The sequence below is a fragment of the Homo sapiens genome, chromosome 7 (assembly GCF_000001405.40).
Source record: "Homo sapiens chromosome 7, GRCh38.p14 Primary Assembly".
NCBI lineage: Eukaryota > Metazoa > Chordata > Mammalia > Primates > Hominidae > Homo > Homo sapiens.
The window spans coordinates 44,318,781-44,339,573 of NC_000007.14; the positions used below are offsets into that span (position 1 = coordinate 44,318,781).

A 20,793-nucleotide genomic window follows, 5' to 3' on the forward strand; every position below is an offset into this window, starting at 1 on the left:
AATCTGTTCTAGAATTCAACAAAAGCTTCTGTCTGGCTTAACAAAGAATCATAACTTAAGTTATTTTTGGATAATTATGTCAATACAAAAAGAACTATGTCCACCAGGAACTGAGCCCTCAACAAGTGACCCTCTAACCCAGGAGACAAAAGCCACCCAAAAGTTTGGCAGCTAGCAACACCACCTTTCTCTAACATAAAAGGATGTTTTCATTTTAAATAAATTCAAGTTTTTCTATGAATAAAATATACATATCTGTGTAATATGCCAATATGATAATTTTTTAAAAACCAAGTTGATACATAATGCATTTTTATGTTTCTACACTAACAAAGTGACTTGCAGCTGTAAAAGATGCTTTAAAAATAATCAAATCAGATTCAATTTTTGTGGGGGAAGAGAGAGAGAATTAAATTTTTTGAAAATATATTTAAAATCTCCAGAAAGGCCACATCTCTTGCCTGGATGAGGGAGGTGGCATCACGGAACACAGGGAAATGGGAGTGGTCTTCCCAGGGACAGACATTGCACACTTATCTCCACCTGGTCTCTTCTAGTAAATTACTGTTAAATTCTAGGGTGGCTCAATATAGACTCTTTAAAGGCCAATGGAGCAAAAATGAGGGAAACATCCCTGTTAGAATTTTTAAGTAGAAGATACAAAACCTAAACATTGCATATCTCTCCCCTCTGCTCTTCGGGATTCCTAGAAAAGGGGGATGGAAAGATGGGAATAGGTCCTTCAGTTCTTTCAAGTGAGACCTGAGACATCCTTAGTCCTGTGGCCTTTGACCGCGGCAGGAGTCCACTTGCACCCACCTCCACAGGCCCAGCCCCTGCAGCTGGTCGTGCTGAGAACACAGCTTTCCTTCACAACAGTTGGGCCCTCCTAATGACCTTTCAGGCCCTGATTTCAAATATAGCATCCTATTATATATCCCATCACACTTGCTAGAGGATGGGTCCCAATTTTTGGTTTAAAAAATGTGGCCAACGCGTATGCACACATTTCTCTGCTAAGAATTGGAAGGCACTTAGCTGAAGAAAAGACTTACTGACACGGGGGGTCGTCATGAAAGTGTTGGGCAAACAGATTGCAGAATCACATATATGGTGATTCCATCTGTGTTTTGAAATCATCTATATCTGCTATATATGTAGATGTGTATATATGTACACACACACATATCCTCATACTGACATTAAAATTAAGAGGCCAGGTACCTCTGGAGAGTGAGGGAACTTGAGTGTAAAGGAGTCACATTTTACGGCACGTACTTCTGTATTACTTGGTGTGTGTGTGTATGTGTCTGTGTGTGTTTTACAAGATCATATTGCCCTGGTAATTTAATTAATAAAATAAAAATTTCTAGTCTTGCTGGTGTCATATGGAGTCAGAGTGTTGGTTGTCTTTGATGACGAAACGAAGTAACATCTTCACAAAGGGGAACCTAGAGGTAGGGGGCCCTTGGTTTGGAAAAGCACAAATACATCATGGTGAGCAGCCGGCCAAGGACAGGTGCCCAAAAGCCTCAGGTCAGAGTAGACCACAAGCTGGCCATGAGTCAGCCAGTGGAGTCACAGCATTTTTAAAGCACAGAATAGAGTAGGGTAATGAGCTTCTGAGAGGAGCAGAATGTGGATTCAAATCCTGACCCTGTGTGACCTTTCCTGGGGAATGGGGCTTCTCTGTGCCTCAGCTACCTCTCCTGTAAACTTGGGATGATTACAGTACCTACTTCACAGATCTAGCGCGTTAATATAATAAGCACCATTTAAGCGCTAGCAACTGTTACCAGAAAAGAAAAGTCCTGGTAGCAAGCATGCAGATATATTCTTAGCTCTCAGCAAAGTAGGTTATGGTATAAAAATACCATTAAATAGTAACTAAACTAGCATCACCTTAATGCACATCTTGCCAGCAATCTCAGCATGTGCGACTTCTTTTTAAACTACCCTACATTAAGGAATCAAGACCAGGAGGACTCTTGCTGGCCTCCTGGGAGCCAGGCCGGAAGGCAGAGGCCCACCCAACTCACCCCTTCCCCACCTCGGGCCAGGCACTGGGGACACAACCATGGCAGGGAGCCGGACCTCCGCCTCTCTGTGGGTAAGCTGTCCAGCACATCAGATGGGGCAAAGTGCCAGGGAGAAGACAAGCTAGGGGGAGGGGCAGGGAGCAGTGGGGAGGCAAAAGGAGAGCCAGGGCAGGGGGCATCTGGGAGAGCCTGCTGAGCAGCCCAAGGGAGTGAGCTGTGAGGGGTCAGGGGAAGAGAGGCAGCTTGGCCAAGGCCCCCGAGGCAGGGAGTGCCTGGTGTGCTCTGGGGAGAGAGAAAGCAAATACGATGATCCCTCCTCCTCCATTCCTCTCTTCCCTGGCAACCGGCTCAGAGCTTGGAGACTCAAAAATTGATTCGCTCTGAATTTCCTAAGTTTATCTATTAACTACCTAACAGGCCATTCGCTTGTTCACAGTGTGCCTCTCGGCAGAAGGCATCCGCCAGCTGACAGTGATGCCCCCGCGAGCGGTCAGGCCACACACACCCCAGGATATAGTCGCTTGCTGGCGACTGGGGTACCACTGGATGGAGTCAAGGACATATCAAGGTCAGTTTTGGGCCTATCTCAGGTTTAGTGGGAGAGATGGGAGGGGTGGGAGATGCCCTAGACTGGAGCTCAGGGGCCATTCTTGCTGCCTGGGCTTGGGCAAGTTGCCAATCTTTCCTGAACTTCGGTTCTTTGTCTGTAAAATGGGGCTGGGGAGAAGGGCCTTTCTGGACAATTGGAATCAAATAAAACCAAACATTTAAAGTAATGTACACATTAGGTGTTGTTACAACATGGCCCAGCCCTAGCTGCCATCTCCGCCAAAAAAGGAGGGGCCCATGAACCCCTGAAATGAAATCCAAAACCTCGTGGGAGATGCTTTCTTCTAGGGAGATCTCCATGTTTGAAAAGAGACAACTCCCCAAAAATGGAAGATTCACGAGGCTGAATACAAAATGTGAGACCTCTTCCTACCCAACAAACGGTCGACACTGACAACCCATCAACACTGACAACCTGCCAACCTGAGGAATGGCAGCACCCAGGGAAAGGGGCGGCCCCAACGCTGCTGTGTGAGTGGACACTGCAGGGAGAGTGGCGGCACCTGCAAAGACAGAAGACTCGAGGACCCTCCTCGGCAGCCCCACTGCCAGGGACACACCCTAAAGAAACTCTCACACCTGCGCCCCAGACGCATTCAGGGCCCGGGCCGTGACGGTGCTGGCCACAGTGTGCTGAGTGACAATGGAACACAGGAGACAACCTAGATTTCCATTGGGATGGGGGCACGCAGGACAGTGTTCACACTACAGGTCGCCACGCAGCAGCCTGCGATCAAACACATCGACGAGCACAGGTGTCAACAAGACTGTTGAGTGAAAAGTACAAGTTCCAGGTTTTTTATGTAAAGTTAAGAAAAACACCCACACAAAACAATCCTATATATTAGTTATGGATACTTATATCCATGTGTAAATGTACCCGAAAGAGCCTGGGAGGAAAAATACAAAAGCAGTAGTTGGAAGGAAATGGGTTACTTAATATTTCTTTGTAATACTTCTTATAATTTTTTTAAAAAAGGACTTAAAGCCAAAATGACAAAAGAGTAACCATTTTCAATTCTGTGTAGAAGAGATACTGTGTTCATTTTATTATTTCTGGGATTTTTCTGGATTTTTAAAGTTTATCCAATATAAAAAAAATAAAAACTGCACTGTTGGCTGGGCCATGCCGGGCTGAGGGCTTCCTTGCCTTGCTCTGTACCTGCTCCCACATGGGCCACCAGGCTAGTGTCTGTGAGCCCTGCCAGGCTGAGCAGGGAAGGGCACACACTCCCTATAGAGCTGGGCAGGGCAGGGCCCCAGAAAGCGGCCCCTCTTGGCTGGCTGACCCTGCTGCCCAGGCCTCTGGGGAAGATTCGGGAGCAGAGACAGCAGAAAAGGATGGGGCAAGGGAGGGGAAAGGCCAGTGGCCTCGTCACACATGAGCAGCTGTGGGCCTGAGGCCAAGCCCTTCCTTTGGGCAGGGAGCTCAGCGCCACCTGACTGGGTGCCAGTGGCTGCAGCTTTAAATAAACTTGGACATGTCCACCTGGGGCCAGGAAGCAACACCAACTGTGCCCTGGGCAGGCACTGTCAACAACCAGCCAGCATAACAACCAAGGGACCCCAGCGCTGCAAATGGGCTGAGTGCCCACAACTGAGCCCTGGCCTCAGACATCCCCCTTAGGTGCCCTGCTCTGCCCTCCCAGCTCCCTGGCCCACCTCTATGGCACGGCTGCACCCCCGAGGAATCGGTCCCTTCCCTACCCAAGAGCCGCCACAGCAGGGCAGTGGTAGGCCCTTGGCGTCGCCAGGGACCCGGCGCCTAGCAGGGCTCCACAAAGGTGCACTAGGCTGAGCTGCCTGCTCCTGGCTTGGGCATCTCCTCTTGTCCCAGGTCATGGGGCTCCCCTCGATGCCAGGCCCCACTCCTCACCTCGCAATGCATGGCTCCCAGTGCTTTCGCTCAGGAGGCCACACTCGCTCCTTTCCAGCAGCAGCTCATTCTCTGGCTTGACAGAGAAGCCCAGCAGTCTTAGCCCCACCTGGTCTCCACCTCTGGAGCCACCTCTCTCAACCTTCCCCAGGCAGCCCCAAAGACCTCCATTCCCCAGTGTGGGTGGCACTGGCCAGGACATCCAGCTGCGCTGGAATCGGAGGCTCAGCGGGGAGCTGGCCACCCGGACACTGCCGCTGGACGCAGGGAGGCTCGCAGCAAAGGGAAGAAGGAACAGCCAGAGTGAGCTGCAGTCTGAGGACACTGGGTGCACATGGGGAGGTCTTGAAAGTGGCTTCTTTGGAGAAGACCAGGGACACCTGCTGTGAGGGCCTCTGTGCTTCTGAGCGCAAGCAGAAAAGACAACAAGAAGGCTCCTGAGGAAAGACTGACTTCCCACTGTTGCTCTCTTCCTCAGAGAACCAGGCACATTAACTGCCACCCACCTGCCCCTCCAGTGGCCAGGACACCTCTGGAGGCCAAGAGGACAGACGGGGGTAGATCGGTGCATCTGAGGGGTGAAGACCGGGGAGCCAGCCACCCACTCAGGGATCCGCATGAAGGGGGCTGGGCTCGCCCTCTCCCTCGAGGTCTCAGCCCTGTGGTGCTCTCCAGATCCACCCAAGGAAGGGTCCCCCAGCCAGCCTGGCCCCCCACCCCACCCATCCAGCATGGGCTTCTTGCAGGGCTGGGCTCCACATCCCTAACCCCTACCAGAATTCTCTCCACACGTGCAGGGAGAAGTGGGGAATGAACACACCCCCACACTCCTCCAGCTCCGCACTCCACAATTATCAATGATCAGCGTCCCTCACCCACCACAAGGTTTCACCAGACACTTATTTAGTAAAGGAAAAAAAGGATCTGTTGCTGGATGTGTAAGAGGAAATCTCGCCAGCACCGCCAGCGCCCCCACCGCCTGCACTGAAGGGACGGAGGAGGATGGGGGAGGACGCAGGAGGATGGGGCTCTGGCCCAGTCAGGCTGGAGATTCAGGAGTTCTGAAGCTAGCCCTAGGGATGCCAGGTGCAGCCACCTTGATTCTCAGAACGGGAGACCCCAGGCCAGACAGGAGGCCCCTGAGGCGCTCCCCATCTCACCCCAGGGGCAAAGCCGGGTCCGGGGACCACGAACCAGACCTTCGCCCTACACTGCTCATACTGCCAAGGAGAGAACGGGAGCCACAGCACCTGTTCCCCGTGAGGTCCCACTTCAAACAAACCTTCAAAGCCCCTTCCCCTTTAGGGCGCCCCCGCCAACAGTCCAAAATCCAGCCCCCATCCACCTCGATGACCCTGAAATTTGCAATCCAGTCAGGCTCTTAGTCTCTCCCCGCTATCCCCATGACCTGATCCAGGCTCCCTGACCTCGTCCTCCCCACACCTCCAAATTCCTGTTTCCAGAAGAATCTGGGGGAAAATCCTCCAGAACCCAGATTCCCCAGGGGACCTACAGCAGAGGCTCTCCCACGCCGGCACCCCCAGCGCGGATGGGGCCACGCGCAGGAGCAGGCGCAAGCAGGTCCCGCCACCCCCGCCGCCTGCCGCTCGGGTGGGGGTGGGGACAGCGCACCCGCGTCGGGGACGACCCTCTGGGGCCGCAGCCGACCCCTCCCGGCGCTCCAGGCCCGGGGGCCACCCCCGCGCGCCCCTCCTCTCTGACCTCCCCGCCGCCAAATGCGTCACGTCTGCCGGGCGCTCCGGGGACACCTGCTGCCGCCCCCGCCGCGCCAAGTCGCGAGCCCGGAGCCCCGGCCCGGCAGCCGCGCTGGGCAGAGCTGGGCAGGGCCGCGCGCGCTGAGGTCAGGCAGCCAGGCCCGGGGCCGGGGGCTCGCGGGTCGGGGCCGCGCGGGGCCGTGCGCTTGGGCCCGGAGCCCAGAGAAGCCGGCGGCGCGCGGGCCCGCAGTGCGCCTGGAGCCGGCGGCGCGGAGGGTCCCGGAGGTCCCGGCCCTCTGGGGTCCCCGGCCCAGCCCGCGCGCGCCGCTGCTCTTACTTGCCAATATCCTCGTAGAGCTGGTACTCGTCGGTGAAGCGGGTGCAGGTCACCGTGGTGGCCATGGCGGCGGCGGACGGGCTCGGCGTGCGCTCGGCTGCGCTCGGGCGGCGGCGACTCCGGCTCCCGCTCGCGGGCACGGCGGCGACACGGGCGCGGGCGCGGGAGACACCTCGGCTCGCGGCGCCAGGCGGGGGCCGGGCTGGGCTGCGCCGGGCGGCGAGCGCACGCGAGATCTGCTCGCTCCGTCCTCGCCAGGAGCGCGCCGCACACCTACGCGCGGGGAGGCGCGGGCGCCGCTGTCACCGCCGCCGCCGCCGCGCCCGCCCCGCCCGCCGCCCCCTGCACGCGCCTTCCCCGCGCCCTGCACACGCTGCTCCTGCACCCGCACCCGCAGGGCACCGGCGCCCTGCATCTGCACACGCGCCCTGCACACACACCCTTGCCCCGCACCCGCAACGCACCTGCACCTGCACCTGCACTCACACGCGCGCCCGCCCCCGCCCGCCCCCGCACCCCACACACACACCCGCGCCCTGTACTGACGCCTTCATCCTCTACCCGCACCACGCCCGCACCTCGCGCACGCAGGCCACTTGCTGCTGCCGACCCCTCGCTCTCACATAACACAGAAGAGTGCACATAATGAACGCAGCCTCCTCTCTCTCTCTCGAAGGCCCACCTAGCCTGACAGCAGGAGGGGACTGGGGCCCACATGGAGGTAGAGGGCTCATGTGCTGCCCTCCACAGGACTCATTCCTCACACCCTCAGGAAGAGATGCTGCCAGATCCCTTCTGCCCAGTCTCCATCAGCCACACATGCCCCAAAGGCTGCCTGGCCAGGAGGAACCGCCCAGAAGGCAGTGTACACACTGGGTCACTAGCATGAGAAAGTGAAAGGGTGGGGCCTGCCCCCTCCCCTTGGCCCCAGCCCCTCCCTTCCCCCTCACTTCTCCAAAGACTGGTTGCTGGGTTGTCTGGAATGGAGGTCCCAGGAGGCAACATTCGGAGTCCAGACCAACGGACCCTGAGCCAGGGGAACAGGGGCTGCTCCACCAGCAATTTGGGGGGCCTGAGAGCTCACAGCCACCCTGATCAGGTAAAGGTGCACATTCTCTCCTTTTCCAGCACGGTCCACCTGCCTGCCCCCTGCTTTTGCCTGGAGGAGGAGGGCCCACACACCCCAACCCCCTCCTGAAAGCAGCCAAGGAGGAGGAGAGTGCAGGGAGGCAGGCAGGAGGCAGGGCGACCCGGTTTCCCACAAAACAGCCTTCCCTGAGGCCTGGCACCAGGGCTGCTGTCCAGAACCGGGACTTTAGACCACTGGGCTCCAGCATCCCCACACTCTTCTCTGACGGGGTCCATCCTGGGCAGGCTCTGAGGAGGGGGTTTCCAGCAGCCAGCTCTGGATTTGGGTCACGCTGCTGCCCTGATATGACTTCCTTACTGCTCCCCAAGGACCAATTCTGGGCCTATCCTGCTCATCCCTCTCACCTCGTGGCCAGCCCAGGGCAAGCCCCAGAAGCCACAATAAATGTCATGTGGATAAGGGAGGGGATAAAGGCATTCTGAGTGCTGGCAGCCAGGGCCCTTCTGGGCCAGGATGCATTTGGCATGGGACTGCTGGGCAATTAGTAGACCACACGGCAACAAGTCCCTGCCATCGACCCACCTGCACCCAGAAGACACTAGAGGACGAGAAATTCTCAGGCCAAAGGCAAATGCTGGGCCACCTGGGGAAGTCCCCAGCTGAGGAAGCAGAGGGATCCTGGCCTTGACTTCAGCAGGACCATAGCAGGAAGGGAGACCCCGTCTATGTCAGACTTGGACTCAGAGAATCCTGGGCCATCCTAACAGACAGACTGGCATGGGCTCGAGAAAGGACTGGAGGCCAAGTCTGAGGTTTGTTCTTGGCGTTGTGTTTAACCCCACAGGAGTTTCTTCCAGCACCTGCTGGATGCATCCATATTTTCCCTTTCTGAGCTCTGGAAAGACGAGGTAGGGCCACACAACAGAATACAAATAACAAGCCAAGCACGGTGGCTCACGCCTGTAACAAGCTCACAGTGGCTCACAGCCCCAGCTATGTGGGCCAGGCTGGTCTCAAACTCCTGACCTCAGGTGATCCACCCACCTCGGCCTCCCAAAGTGCTAGGATTACAGGCATGAGCCACTGCACCCGGCCGAGGTCACCTTTCAAAAGTTGAGAAGCTGCCCAGGACCAGGGTTACACAAGAATGTGGGGTCACTAAGAGATGCAATTTGAGATTCATTGTATCCTATACTTCTTCCCGCCTTTTGTACCTGTTAGCACCTGGGACCCCCAGGCAGTCCCTCCTCCGAGCTGAAATATTAGAGGTATGAAGCAGAGCTACCCTGGCGAGCGCAGGAAGGTTGGCATGATTGGGCACCAGACAGTGGGGAAGGGCTGGGCTATCAGAGGCAGCCAGACTGTCCCTACCCAGACAGCTTGACCCCACACTAACACTCAAAAAACAGCCCAGTCCCCACCCTCAGACCCAGACGGCTTCTCCCTATCATAGGAAAATGGGTAGAAGGGAGAAAGACTTCCAGCCATGACTCTCTGGTCCCAGATTCCAGAAGCCCTCTCATCTGGCTTTGGCTCTGGTCAGAGAGGCCCAGACTTCCCCCTCTTCCCACCCCTGCCTTCAGGAAGGGCCCACTTCCACCCCAACCCCCGTGTCATCTCTGCCTCCCACCTTGTCCTTTCAAGCTTGCTTTCGTAAGCGAGGAGGGCTCTCCCTCCCAGGTGGCAGCTGGGGAGGGTGTGGGGAATATCAGTTCTGGGAGGTTATTGTTAGGACGGTCACCATGGCAACAAGCATCACATCTGCAGAGCCAAAAGTGCTGCACATGGGGTTCATTATCCCAAAGAAAGCCACGCCTCCCCTGTCCCCCTCACCTCCAGGGACTGCTGTCATGTGGAAGGGTGTCACTGCACCTCCTCTCTCAGGCCCAGCCATCCACCAGGGAGAGCAGGCTGTGGTTCCCAGAGCAGGAAGACCCTAGTCCATCCATCTCCCATCATCTGGCCCTTGACATGGCAGCCCATACAGGACACAGTGGCAAGCACATGGAGTGGCTATGGTGGTGATGGTTACGATAATGATGGTAATGATGGTGGTGGTGGTGGTGATAATGATAATGATGGTAATGGTGGTGCTGGTGGTGGTGGTAATAATGATAATGATGGTGTTGGTGACAATGATGGTGATGGTCATGGTGGTGGTGATGGTGGTGCTGCTGATGGTGGTGGTGGTGGGGATGGTGATGGTGGTGGTGATAATGATGGTGTTGGTGACAATGATGATGGTGGTGATGGTGATGGTGATGATGAAGGCCATAGCTACAATTTACAATTCACTCATCACCTGCCCTAAACCATTCTAAAAGTCCAACATCCACCATTTTGAATAAACTTCATAGCATTATCATTGCCTCCCTTTTACAAATGAGGAAATTGAGACACAGACTCTAACTGGCCTCAGGTCAGACAGCTAGTTTAGTATTGGCATCTGGATCTGCCTGACTTTGTGGCTGGTTCCTTTAACCACTGTGTCCTGCTTAGGGGTGTCCACCAGCCTTCTTTGTGCAGTTACTGTGTGCCCAGCTCTGTCCAGGCACTCAGTCACATCAGGGAATGAGATAGAAAAGGATTCTGCCTTTGCAGAGCTTGATAACAAGCAAACAAGAATGCATCTAGTACTCATGTTGTATGTAGATTTAAAACAAAGTGGTGTGCTAGAGAGTGACAGGGTGGCAACTTCAGAGTGGAAGTCCATGGAAGAGCTTTCTGAGGAGGTGATGTCTAAGCTGAAGTCTGAATGAAACAGAGAGGCTACCCTTGAGAGCCAAAGGGCAGGGTGTTGGCAGAAGAGGCTGCCATGCAAAGGCCCTGTGGCAGGCACTAGCTGGTGTGTTTAGGGAATGAAGACGGTGGGGAAGAGGGTGAAGCAGTCAGACCCAGCAAGGGCATTTTGTCAGTGGCTTATTGGCAGATGTCACCTGAGTCCTCCAAGGGATTTGGAACCACCTTGATGACTAACAAGCAAAGTGATAAAGCCAACTAACCATTATGGCCCTGGGCCGGGAGCAGCATCCACAGGCTTGGCTCAGAGGCTTGGCCCGAGAACATAGGGTGAGAACCCCCTAGACTTCCTCCCTTCTCACCAAGCATCCAAGCATAAGTTGGACACCAGCACCTGTCCCGGAGATACTGTGCCCTTGGGCAAAGGGAGGGAAGTGAGAGCAACCCCTGCTAAGTCTGCTGCCAGGCTGAGGCTCTGGGCCACCCCCCCCTCTGCTGGCTGGGGCTCCCTGGAGCACCCCTGGCACTCTCTGGCTACCAGGCGAGGTGGACCCTTCCTGACTGACCCCACCTTAGCTGTCCTCATTGGTGTCACCTCCATCCTCCTGGAGTTGCCTCAGGCCCTAGGCCCCAGAAGTCCAGGCACTGTCCCAGCCCAGGCAGGCCCCCAACGCAGGTATATCTAGCAGCTAGGAGTAGTTAGGCTGATAGGAGCAGGTCCCAGATGGCCCATAAGTGGCTCCCAGATCCTCCTTCCCTGTAGTGGACACCAGGGATTTGTCATCGTGGAAATGGCCTCCTAGCATGTGTCAGAAGACTCTGCACTCAGGCCCCTTCCATCCCACCCTGTGTAGCTTCCAACTGCAGGCACAAAGGCTGTGCTAAAGCAGAAAGCCTGGCTACCAGCCTGGAGTTCCCAGCATGGACACAGGCCTGTGTGCACCAGCCAGGGCTAACACAAGGCAGCCATTCCCCTAAGCATCAGGGGTGGCACCTGGGGTGGTCGCAAAGCCCTCAGGAACCAAGCTGCCTCCAGCTTTCTGCTCCTGCATCTGGCGCTGGCCCTCTTCCTGGAGCTCTGACATGGAGATTTAGCTGTCATATCCATGTTCCCAGCAGCAGGATAGAGAAAGGGAGGGGGAATGGTGGGCACTGGTCAACTTTCTGCCACATGACCCCGCTGACAGCTGAATCACGTGCTTTCATTTGGCTGCAAGGGAGGCTGGGTTGTGGGGTGTCTATGACTGAAGAAGTGGAGAAGGATGCTGGGGAAAATGTGGCTTTTGCCGCCTCGTCCATGCAGTGCCTCGCTCATTCTCCAGCCCTCGCTGCTAAGGAACCAAAGTCCAGGGAGCACAAGGCAGCTGTTTCTGGGTTCTGCCTTGTGATAGGAGCTAATATCTAATTGCTGTTAGGATTATTATTGTTGACAGATGCAAAACACTATAAAAGAGAATGTGCATAAATACAGGACAGCCACTTTGGAGAACTGTTTGACAGTTTATTATAAAGCTAAACAAATACCTTCCCTATGACCTGGCAATTCGTCTTAGGCTTTTACCCCAAAAAAGTAAAAACATATGTCAGGAAAAGAAAAAGAGAGGCCGGGTGCAGTGGCTCATGCCTGTAATCTCAACACTTTGGGAGGCTGAGGCGGGCAGATCGCCTGAGGTCAGGTGTTCGAGACCAACCTGGCCAACATATTGAAACCCCGTCTCAACTAAAAATTAAAAAATTAGCCTGGCATGGTGGTGCACACCTGTAATCCCAGCTACCCAGGAGGCTGAGGCATGAGAATTGCTTGAACCTGGGAGGCAGAGGTTGCAGTGAACCAAGATTGCACCACTGCACTCCAGCCTGGGTGACAGAGCGAGACTCTGTCTCAAAAAAAAAAGGAAAAGAAAAACAAAGAAACAAACTTGTACAAGAGCATTTATAGTAGCTTTATTCACAGTAGGTGAAACTGGAAGCAATGTATTAATGTCCATAAACAGGAATGCAGGTAAACAAATTGGTGTAAATAAATTAAAAAGAATAACTACTAGTACACTCAACAACATGAATGAATCGCTCAGACATGAGGCTGAACCAAAGAAGCCAGACACAAAGAATACACACCACATAATTCCATTCTACACATTCTAGAACTAATCAATGGTTCTAGAAATCAGAAAAGTGGCTGTCTCGGCAGAGGGTTGGGGTGGTGCTGGGATTGACTTGGAGGAGCTGAAGGGAATTTTCTGGGATATTAAAATGTTCTGTATATTTTCTGTGGCTACACAAGGGTATATATTTGTCAAAAACCTGGAAAAAACTGTACCCTTAAAATCAGTGTGTTTTATGTAAAGGTAATTTACATGTAAGTTCCGTGTAATTATGTATGTAAAGTATACCTCAACTTTAAAATGACATGAAATGTATGTTCATATGCCATATGGAGAATATACTTTTTTCAGTCACATGGAAGAGCCTAGTACTAGGAGACAAGTACTAGGAGACAAAGTACTAGGAGACAAAGGAAATTGAAAAAAAAAATTCTACAAAAGCAGGAATCACTGCAATAAAAGTAAAAAGAAATAACTAAAGGAAAGCCAAATAAATCCGCTCAGCAGGAAATTTACATGACAGAATGTGGAGACTACAGAAATGAAACTTAGAAACAAACATGCGCAGGCTGGAATGCAGTGGCGTGATCTCTGTGTTACAAGCCTGGCCAAAGCCATCAGAGGAGATGTCACAGGCCATCGTGCCCTTATCAGACAGCAGGCAAGACTGAAAATAAACTAAGGCTTACCACTCAAGAAGCTAGACATGAATAGCAAAACAACCCCAAGAAAGGTGAAAGGATGAGCGTGATAATGCCAAACAGAAATTAATGAAAGAAAAACAATCATTACCACAACTAATCAGTAATACAAACGCTAGATCTTTGGGAAAAAAAATTAAAGAGTAAAATAGACAAACCTGACAAGTCTGGCTAGCAACAAAAAATAAGCCAAAAAATAGGTATAAAAGAGGCAACATAAAATAAAGAAATAAAGATTGGCTGGGCGCAGTGGCTCACGCCTGTAATCCCAGCACTTTGGGAGGCTGAGGCCGGTGGATCACCCAAGGTCAGGAGTTCGAGACCAGCCTGGCCAACATGGCGAAACCCCGTCTCTACTAAAAGTACAAAAATTAGCTGGGCGTGGTGGCGAGCGCCTGTAATCCCAGTTACTCAGGAGTCTGAGGCAGAAGAATCACTGGAACCTGGGAGGCAGAGGTTGCAGTAAGCCGAGATCGCGCCACTGCACTGCAGCCTGGGCGACAAGAGTGAGACTCCATCTCAGAAAGAAAGAGAGAGAGAGAGAGAAAGAGAGAGAGAGAGAAAGAATTATAAAAGAATTTTCTGCACAACATCTTGCTAATAAGTAGAAAATGGGACAGGCACGGTGGCTCACGCTTGTAATCCCAGCACTTTGGGAGGCCAAGGCAGGTGGATCACCAGAGGTCAGGAGTTCGAGACCAGCCTGGCCAACCTGGTGAAACCCCCATCTCTACTAAAAATACAAAAATTAGCTGGGCATAGTGGCAAGCGCCTGTAGTCCCAGCTACTTGGGAGGCTGAGGCAGGAGAACTGCCTGAACCCGGTGGGCGGAGGTTGCAATGATCCAAGATCATGCCATTGCACTCCAGCCTGGGCAACAGAGTGAGACTCTGAAAAAAAAAAAAAGAAAAGAAAGGAAGGAAGGAAGGGAAAGAAAATGTAGTTGAAATGGGGTTTTTCTGGGGAAATGTGAATTACTCATATTGACCCCCAAAACAGTAAAAAATCACAGAATATATGTAAAAACTGTGGTGAACCTTGAACAATAAGAATGTATTCACAGCCAGGCACAGTGGCTCACACCTGTAATCCCAGCACTTTGGGAGGCTGAGTGGGGAGCATTGAGCCCAGGAAGTTGAAGCTGCATCAGTGAGCTGTGATGGCACCACTGTATCCCAGTCTGGGCAACAGAGCCAGACTCTGTCTCAGGAGAAAAGAAAAGAAAAAGAACATATCCACTTACTATATTTGTACTACTTTAAAAAAAAAAAAAAGACTGGGTGTGGTGGCTTATGCCTGTAACCCCAGCAGTTTGGGAGGCCAAGGTGGGTGGATTGCCTGAGGTCAGGTGTCCGAGGCCAGCCTGGCCAACATGGTGAAACCCCATCTCTACTAAAAATACAAAAATTAGTCGGGCATGGTGGTAGGAGCCTGTAATCCCAGCTACTCGGGAGGCTGAGGCAGGAGAATCATTTGAATCTGGGAGATGGAGGTTGCAGTAAGCTGAGATCATGCCACTGCACTGTAGCCTGGGTGACAGAATGAGACTCTGTCTCAACAACAACAACAAAAAAGGCAAGGGGGAAACCCTGACAAGAAAATGAGGCTGGGCCTCTCCACTGCCAGGGCCTGCTCTGCAGCCAGCCAGGGCCCCAGCCTCTCTCAGCCCCAGATACCAAGGAGATCTTTTTACATTTAAGGGCACAGCAAGTTCAGAAACACTGGTGGGGTGTTTCTCTCTTTCGTTTTTGCTTAGTTTTTTACCATGTCTGTGAACTTAGATGATGTCAAGCATCCGTGCAGGTTCAAGAAGGGCCAGTGCTGAGGCTGCCCCGCAGCTCTGAGCAATGGAGAACGAGGGCCACCCTGATTTCTCCCCTCCCTGGGGCCCATCTGCAGGACCCAATGCAATGCCAATGGAGCAGGCCAGGAAGTGCTGTGGGTTTTGTAAGACAGCCTGCGCTGGGTACTGGATGCCCTGTGGGCTCAGTTATTCAGGGTTTCAGAGGAAAGAAGGAATTTGTAATAAAGATATGCACAGCAGTGCTATTTATAACCAAGAAAACTGGAAACAACCCAAATTGCCCCCCGCAGGGGACTGGCCTGGCAGAAACAACGGAGCGAGTGGATGGAGATGTGGGGCCACGTGACAAGTGGGAAGGGAGGAAGCTCCGTGGATACAGAGCCTCCTGCGTGGGGGACGCCAAATATAATGCAGTTTGTACACAGCCACCGTAATTATGGAAAGCTACACGCATGGACATACTTACAGGTGTCAGGCAACAGCAAGCAGAAAATAGCCAGGGCGATTACAGTCAGAGCCAGCATTTCTTGAGTGCTTCCTGTATGCCAGACACGTTATTACCAGCAGCACTTTGCAAATGAGGACACTGGGGCCCTGAATGGTTAAGTAACTTGCCTGAAGACAAACAGCAGTAGGGAAGGAGGTAGGAGGCCGCTGGCATCCAAGGTCTGCTATCACCGGCTCTATGCCAGCATGCCTCCCCCTACCCCAGGTCCTGGCCAGGCCTGGGGGCGGCAATAAACCACTTGTTCTAATTGCACAGGGGTCAAGATGATGCAAACAGCGCTTGCAGCTCATGGGGCCTTCCTCCCAGAGAGACGACTCCTACACTCTGAGTTCCACTGCCTCCCCCACCAGAAATACTGGTGTGGGTAGAATGGAGTGGGAGGCAGCACATCTTAAAGCTGCATTTTCTCCCCCTGGAGAGTGTCGTACGCACTCCCTCTTGTCCTTCAGGGATTCCCCTCGGTTGACTCTGAAGCAGGCGCCGCCCTTGGGGCCCTTTCTTGGAGATGACCCCCGCTGCCTGGAGTTCAGGGTCTCCCACTCTGACACTCATCCCTCGGTTGCTGGACGCTCCCTTGGTCCTGGAGTCCTGGTAACCCTGGCAAAGCCAGTGGATGGAGGAGGGGACGGTGGTAGAGCCTGAGGCCCCCAGCGTGGAGTGGCCCCAGCCTGGCCGGGCTCCTGCCAGGGCCTCAGTCCGGGGGCACGTTTGCCCTGCTGGGCTCCTGCCTGCACTTGGCCCTCCTCTGTAGCCTCCACAGAAGCTTGGCACAATGAACACAGCCCTCCTGCCCCCTTTCCCAGTCCCTGCCCCCATGTCCCACCTCCACATCCCCAGCCTGGCAGGCCACTGAGACTTAGGGACTCTGATACAGAATGGTCACAAAAGGGGACTCCCAGGGAGGAAAGAATAAATGGCCCATGAAGTGTATGGGCACGTGGTGCCCTTCAGGTGAACACAGCCAGGTTGGGCTGTGGCCTTGTTCTTTTTTTTCTGTGACCCCTCTCTGAATGCCCCTCAGTCTCTGGCCTGGCCGGGGCATCTGCCACACACCTGGAGGGAGGACTTCGGCTGGCGTCTCAGCAGGCTGGCCAGTGGGCCCAGACCCTCACAGGGGCCAGCTGCATGACAGCCAGCAGACTCAGGTAGAGCCTGAAGTAGCCCTGATAATGGGCTACTCAACCTACTCAACCTCCAGGCTACTCAACCTCCAGGCTGGGGTGCCCCTCATGCTAGCACAGCCCCTGGGGCCTGGAGGGCAATGGACAGCTCCTGCCTCCCACCTACTTAGGTTTCTACCCAGTGGCTCTCCCTCAGAGCCTCCTACCAGGACTGTGGGCCTCTGCAGGAATTGGGTAGGTCCGGGTCCCCTCCACAAGCTCCCAGGGATCTTCTAAACCCCTCCTCAACTTCCCCCTCCCCAACACTTCCCCCTGACCCCAGAGAGAAATTGCTAGGGGGCCAGGCCTAACTACTGTTTTACCACACCCTGGAAACTCCATATGTAGCAACCTCAGCTTTGTAGCCACTATCCATGCTAACAGTGCTAACAGGAGCTATCATGTATTGGCGGGGGGCTAGAGGACATCCATTTGGAATAATATTTCAGAATCAGGACTTGGTGGCCTACTGCAAGTGAGAAGTGAGTGTGGAGGGGCTGGGGCTGCATGGATCTCTCCTATTTTTCTATAATGGCAGGATAAAGGGAAAACGAAAAGGAGGAACAGGTATGGGGTACAGATATTAAATTCCAATTAGGGAGTGTAGTGTTTAAGGGCCTCCTAAATATCCACTACCTGCAGTATCAGTGAAAATATGGCCTAGAGGCCAAGATAAAGAGAAGAATTGAAGGCACAGGCGGGAGAATGATCAATAGAAGGAAGGATTGAGTTGCAGTCTAGTGAGTGTCACAGGAGGAGAGAAAAGGGCTCATAAGGGGTCTCTGAGGGAGGCGGCATCAAGGAGATGGTTTGAGGAAGGGGTGATTAAGGAGACAAAGAAAGAGCAAGTAAAGGGGCGGGGGCAAATCCAGGAGAGAAGAGTGTCATGGAAGCTGGGTCGAGAAGTCTCCAGGCAGAGAAACGCCAGAGGCTGGGTTGCAGTAGGTCAAGGAGGGCATGGACAAATTGGATGTGGAAACAAGCATCACCTTCTCCAGCCAAAATCACTTGTGACTTCCACTTCTAGCTGTTTTACCAGACTAGCCCTCCCACCAAAAATAACCATGAATCTGGACAAAGTACGTGAGGCAGCTGTTTTCAGGGAGTGCAAGACTCAGATCCCTGTGGGAAGGGACGCTTAGGAGGTGAGCCCCGTGATTGCTCCGTGCTCCCCGACAGAGTTTTCTGACTGTGGCACACGGCACCGGAGTCTGGGCAGGGCACGGGGGTCATGTGGAGCTGAAGAGGTGGAGCAGCGGGAGCAGTGGGCATGCGTGGAGCCAAGCATTGGAGAAGAGGGAGCTGTGCACGCAGGGGTCCCAGAACCCCACACAGGAGCTCTGCAAGTCCTTGACTGACAACTAAGCTGCACATACAAAGGGAAGAACTGAGTCATGCCAAATTAGAGAGGCTTAGGAAACATTTTGGATGTTCCGTGCATCTGCAGTAACAAAACATGAACCCTAAGTAAGGAAGTTCAAAGTCATCTGCCAATAATTAAATTGCCTACTAAAACAATAATCAACATTCTTCAGAGGAAGTTAACACAATTTTGAGTTTCACAATATATTAGCCACAAAATCTAGTATTCAATTTTTAAAAAAAATTGCCAGGTATATAAGGAAATAGGAAAATGTGATGCCCAGGCAAGAATAAAGCAGACTATAGAACAGTAACTTAATCTAAAATGACCCAGATGTTGGGCTTAGCAGACTGTAATGTGGCGATTATAAATATGTCCAAATAATTAAAGTAAGATATAGTCTTAATCAGTGAGTATATAGGAAAACTCAGCCCCAAAATGGTATCTGGATACAAATTTTAAAACTAAAAAGTATAATAATTGAAATGAAAAATTCACTGGAAGGCTTAATAGCAGATTGGAGATAGTAGAAGAGTCGATAAACATGAAGACAGATCAATAAACATTATCTGAAGATCACAAGGAAAAAAGGCTGAAGGAAAGTGAATAGAGCCTGCGAACCTTGTGGAATAGTATCACATAATCTAACACATACGTAATCAGAGTCTCAAAGGAAAAGGTGTAGTAAAATTGGGGCAGAACAAATATGTGAAGAAATAATGGCCAAAACATCCCAAATTTGATGAAAAACATCAATTTACATATCCAGTAGTCTCAATAAACTCAAATCAGGATAAACAGAAAAAATAACAACACTCAGACACACAGTTCTGAAAACCTAAGAAAATTCTGAAAGCAGCTGGGTTTGCTGGGAGGTATAACATTACTTACAGGGAAACAAGTATAAGAATCATTACCAACTTCTCACCAGGAACAATGGAGGCAGAAACAATTGAATGGCATCATGAAAGTGCTGAAAGGAAAAAAGCTTCAACCAAAAAGATACTCATCTAGCAAAAATACCCTTTTAAAACAAGGTTGAAATGAAGACATTTAGACAAGACTGAGAATTCATTGACAGAAGACCTGTAATACAGTCAAAGCTATGGACATCCTCCAGGGCAAGGAAAATAATACCAGATGGAAACTGAGATCTACAGGAAGGACTAAGGAGCGCTACATGGAGAGATCCAGCAGACACCATCTTAACCATGCGATAGAAGAGTGGGACAAGTCAGCATTGTGAGCCCCCGATATAAATGCTGTAGGAAGAACACAGCATTGCCTCTGCATAGTTGATGAAATTATTAAGGCAGTAATGTCATAAGCAAACTTTGAATGGATCTGTGGATTCAATGGTAATATCAGATAAAGATCAATTTCCTGATTTTGACAGTTGTACTGTGTTCATATAGGAAAGGACCCTTGTTTTGCACAAGGGCTTAACGGGATGACGAAGAATCACATCTACAACTTGTTATTAAATGATTCAGGAAAAAAATACATTAGTATATATATAGAGAGAAAGACTGATAAGTCAAATGTAGTAAAGTATTAACAACTGGGGAATTTGGTTGAATAGTATATAGGAGCTCTTTTTACTATTTTGCAACTTTTCTGTAAATTTAAGATTACTTCAAAATAAAACAAACAAAAAAGCAGCAGCTCTGTAAGGGCATGAAGAAGGAAGAGGGCAACAGAATGGAGCAAGGGTACAGAAGGAAGATGACTTCCATAATGGTTTCTTAATGAGGTGGAATGTAAATAGAAAAGCACACAGATTACAAGTAAACATTCAGTAAATTTCCACCTTCACTCAGCACTTCAATTAAGAAAAGGAACAATATCTGCATACCTTATGTCCTCTCCCCTCCCATAGTGGTAGCTACTATCTCAACCTCTGCCAACATAGACTAGTATACCCTGGTTTTGAGGTTTAAATACGTAGAATTATAAAGTAGTTCCTCTTTTGTGTCTGGGAAAACCCCCAAATGTTATGTTTGTGATATTCAAATATGTTTCTGTATGTAGCAATAGCAACTTTTTCGTCTAGTCTAAATCATGTGTCTAGTCTAAATCATGTGAATTTATTTACATATATTTATACATTTATTATGTAAATCCCCATTCTACCGATAATGAACACCAGGGTGGTTTTCAGTTCTGAGCTGTTACGAATAATGCTATGACGAACATCTTTGTTCATGTCCTGGTGAACTTAAGCATCCATTTCTGTTCAGCAAATATCTAGGCATGGAATTTCTGGGTCACTGGGTATGTGGGTGCTCGCTTTTAATGGACACTGCCACAGGATTTCAAAGTGTGTTGACTTACATTCCCACAGCACAACACGAGAGTTCTGGTTGCTCCATAGTCTTGCAGATGACAACTGGTATTGTAAGATTTTTGGTCATTATAGTGAGTGTGGTCAGGGGTGGGGGGGCATATTACATTGTGGTTTTTAATTTTCATTTCCCTGAAGACTCATGAGGTGCTCTTAAGGATGAGTGCCTTTTCATGGGTTTTTGGACCATTTGGATATCCCTTTTTGTACAATGTAGTTCATGTTTTTAACATATTTTTCTATTGGATTGTCTTTTCCTTATTGATTTGTAGAAGTTCTTTCCTTCCTTCCTTTCTTTTCTCTTTCTTTCTTTTTCTTTCTTTCTTCTTTCTTTCATCTTTTTCTTGAGACAGGGTCTCACTCTGTCACTCAGGCTAGGGTGCAGTGGTGCCGTCACAATTCA

The 20,793-nt window shown here is 51.3% G+C and overlaps 1 protein-coding gene and 1 long non-coding RNA gene across 37 annotated transcripts in view, besides 1 other annotated feature; one reads left to right on the top strand and one right to left on the bottom strand.

Annotated features, from left to right (window-relative positions):
* Positions 1 to 7,233, bottom strand: part of CAMK2B (calcium/calmodulin dependent protein kinase II beta) — a 108,860-nt gene extending 101,627 nt beyond the window's left edge. For 34 of the 35 annotated variants that reach the window (NM_172084.3, XM_017012665.2, XM_011515557.2 and 31 more), the window contains exon 1: positions 6,577 to 6,814. In NM_172084.3, the coding sequence (NP_742081.1) occupies positions 6,577 to 6,641 (65 nt within the window). In that variant the 5' untranslated portion in view covers positions 6,642 to 6,814. Of the gene's footprint in view, positions 1 to 6,576; positions 6,815 to 7,154 lie in introns of those variants that run through there. The other variant, XM_011515559.3, reaches the window with a different exon arrangement.
* Positions 2,489 to 3,775, top strand: LOC124901621 (uncharacterized). Of its 2 annotated transcripts, none has more exons than XR_007060297.1 (2): positions 2,489 to 2,607; positions 2,828 to 3,775. It is a non-coding gene; the product is annotated as an uncharacterized LOC124901621 (long non-coding RNA). The 2 variants fall into 2 exon arrangements; XR_007060298.1 differs by having other exon boundaries at positions 2,937 to 3,775.
* Positions 20,059 to 20,128: an enhancer, noted in NCBI's record as "active region_25939". NCBI's record gives its function as "activates an Ori minimal core promoter by ATAC-STARR-seq in GM12878 lymphoblastoid cells {active_cell/tissue: GM12878}" and the evidence as "EXISTENCE:reporter gene assay evidence [ECO:0000049][PMID:35858748]".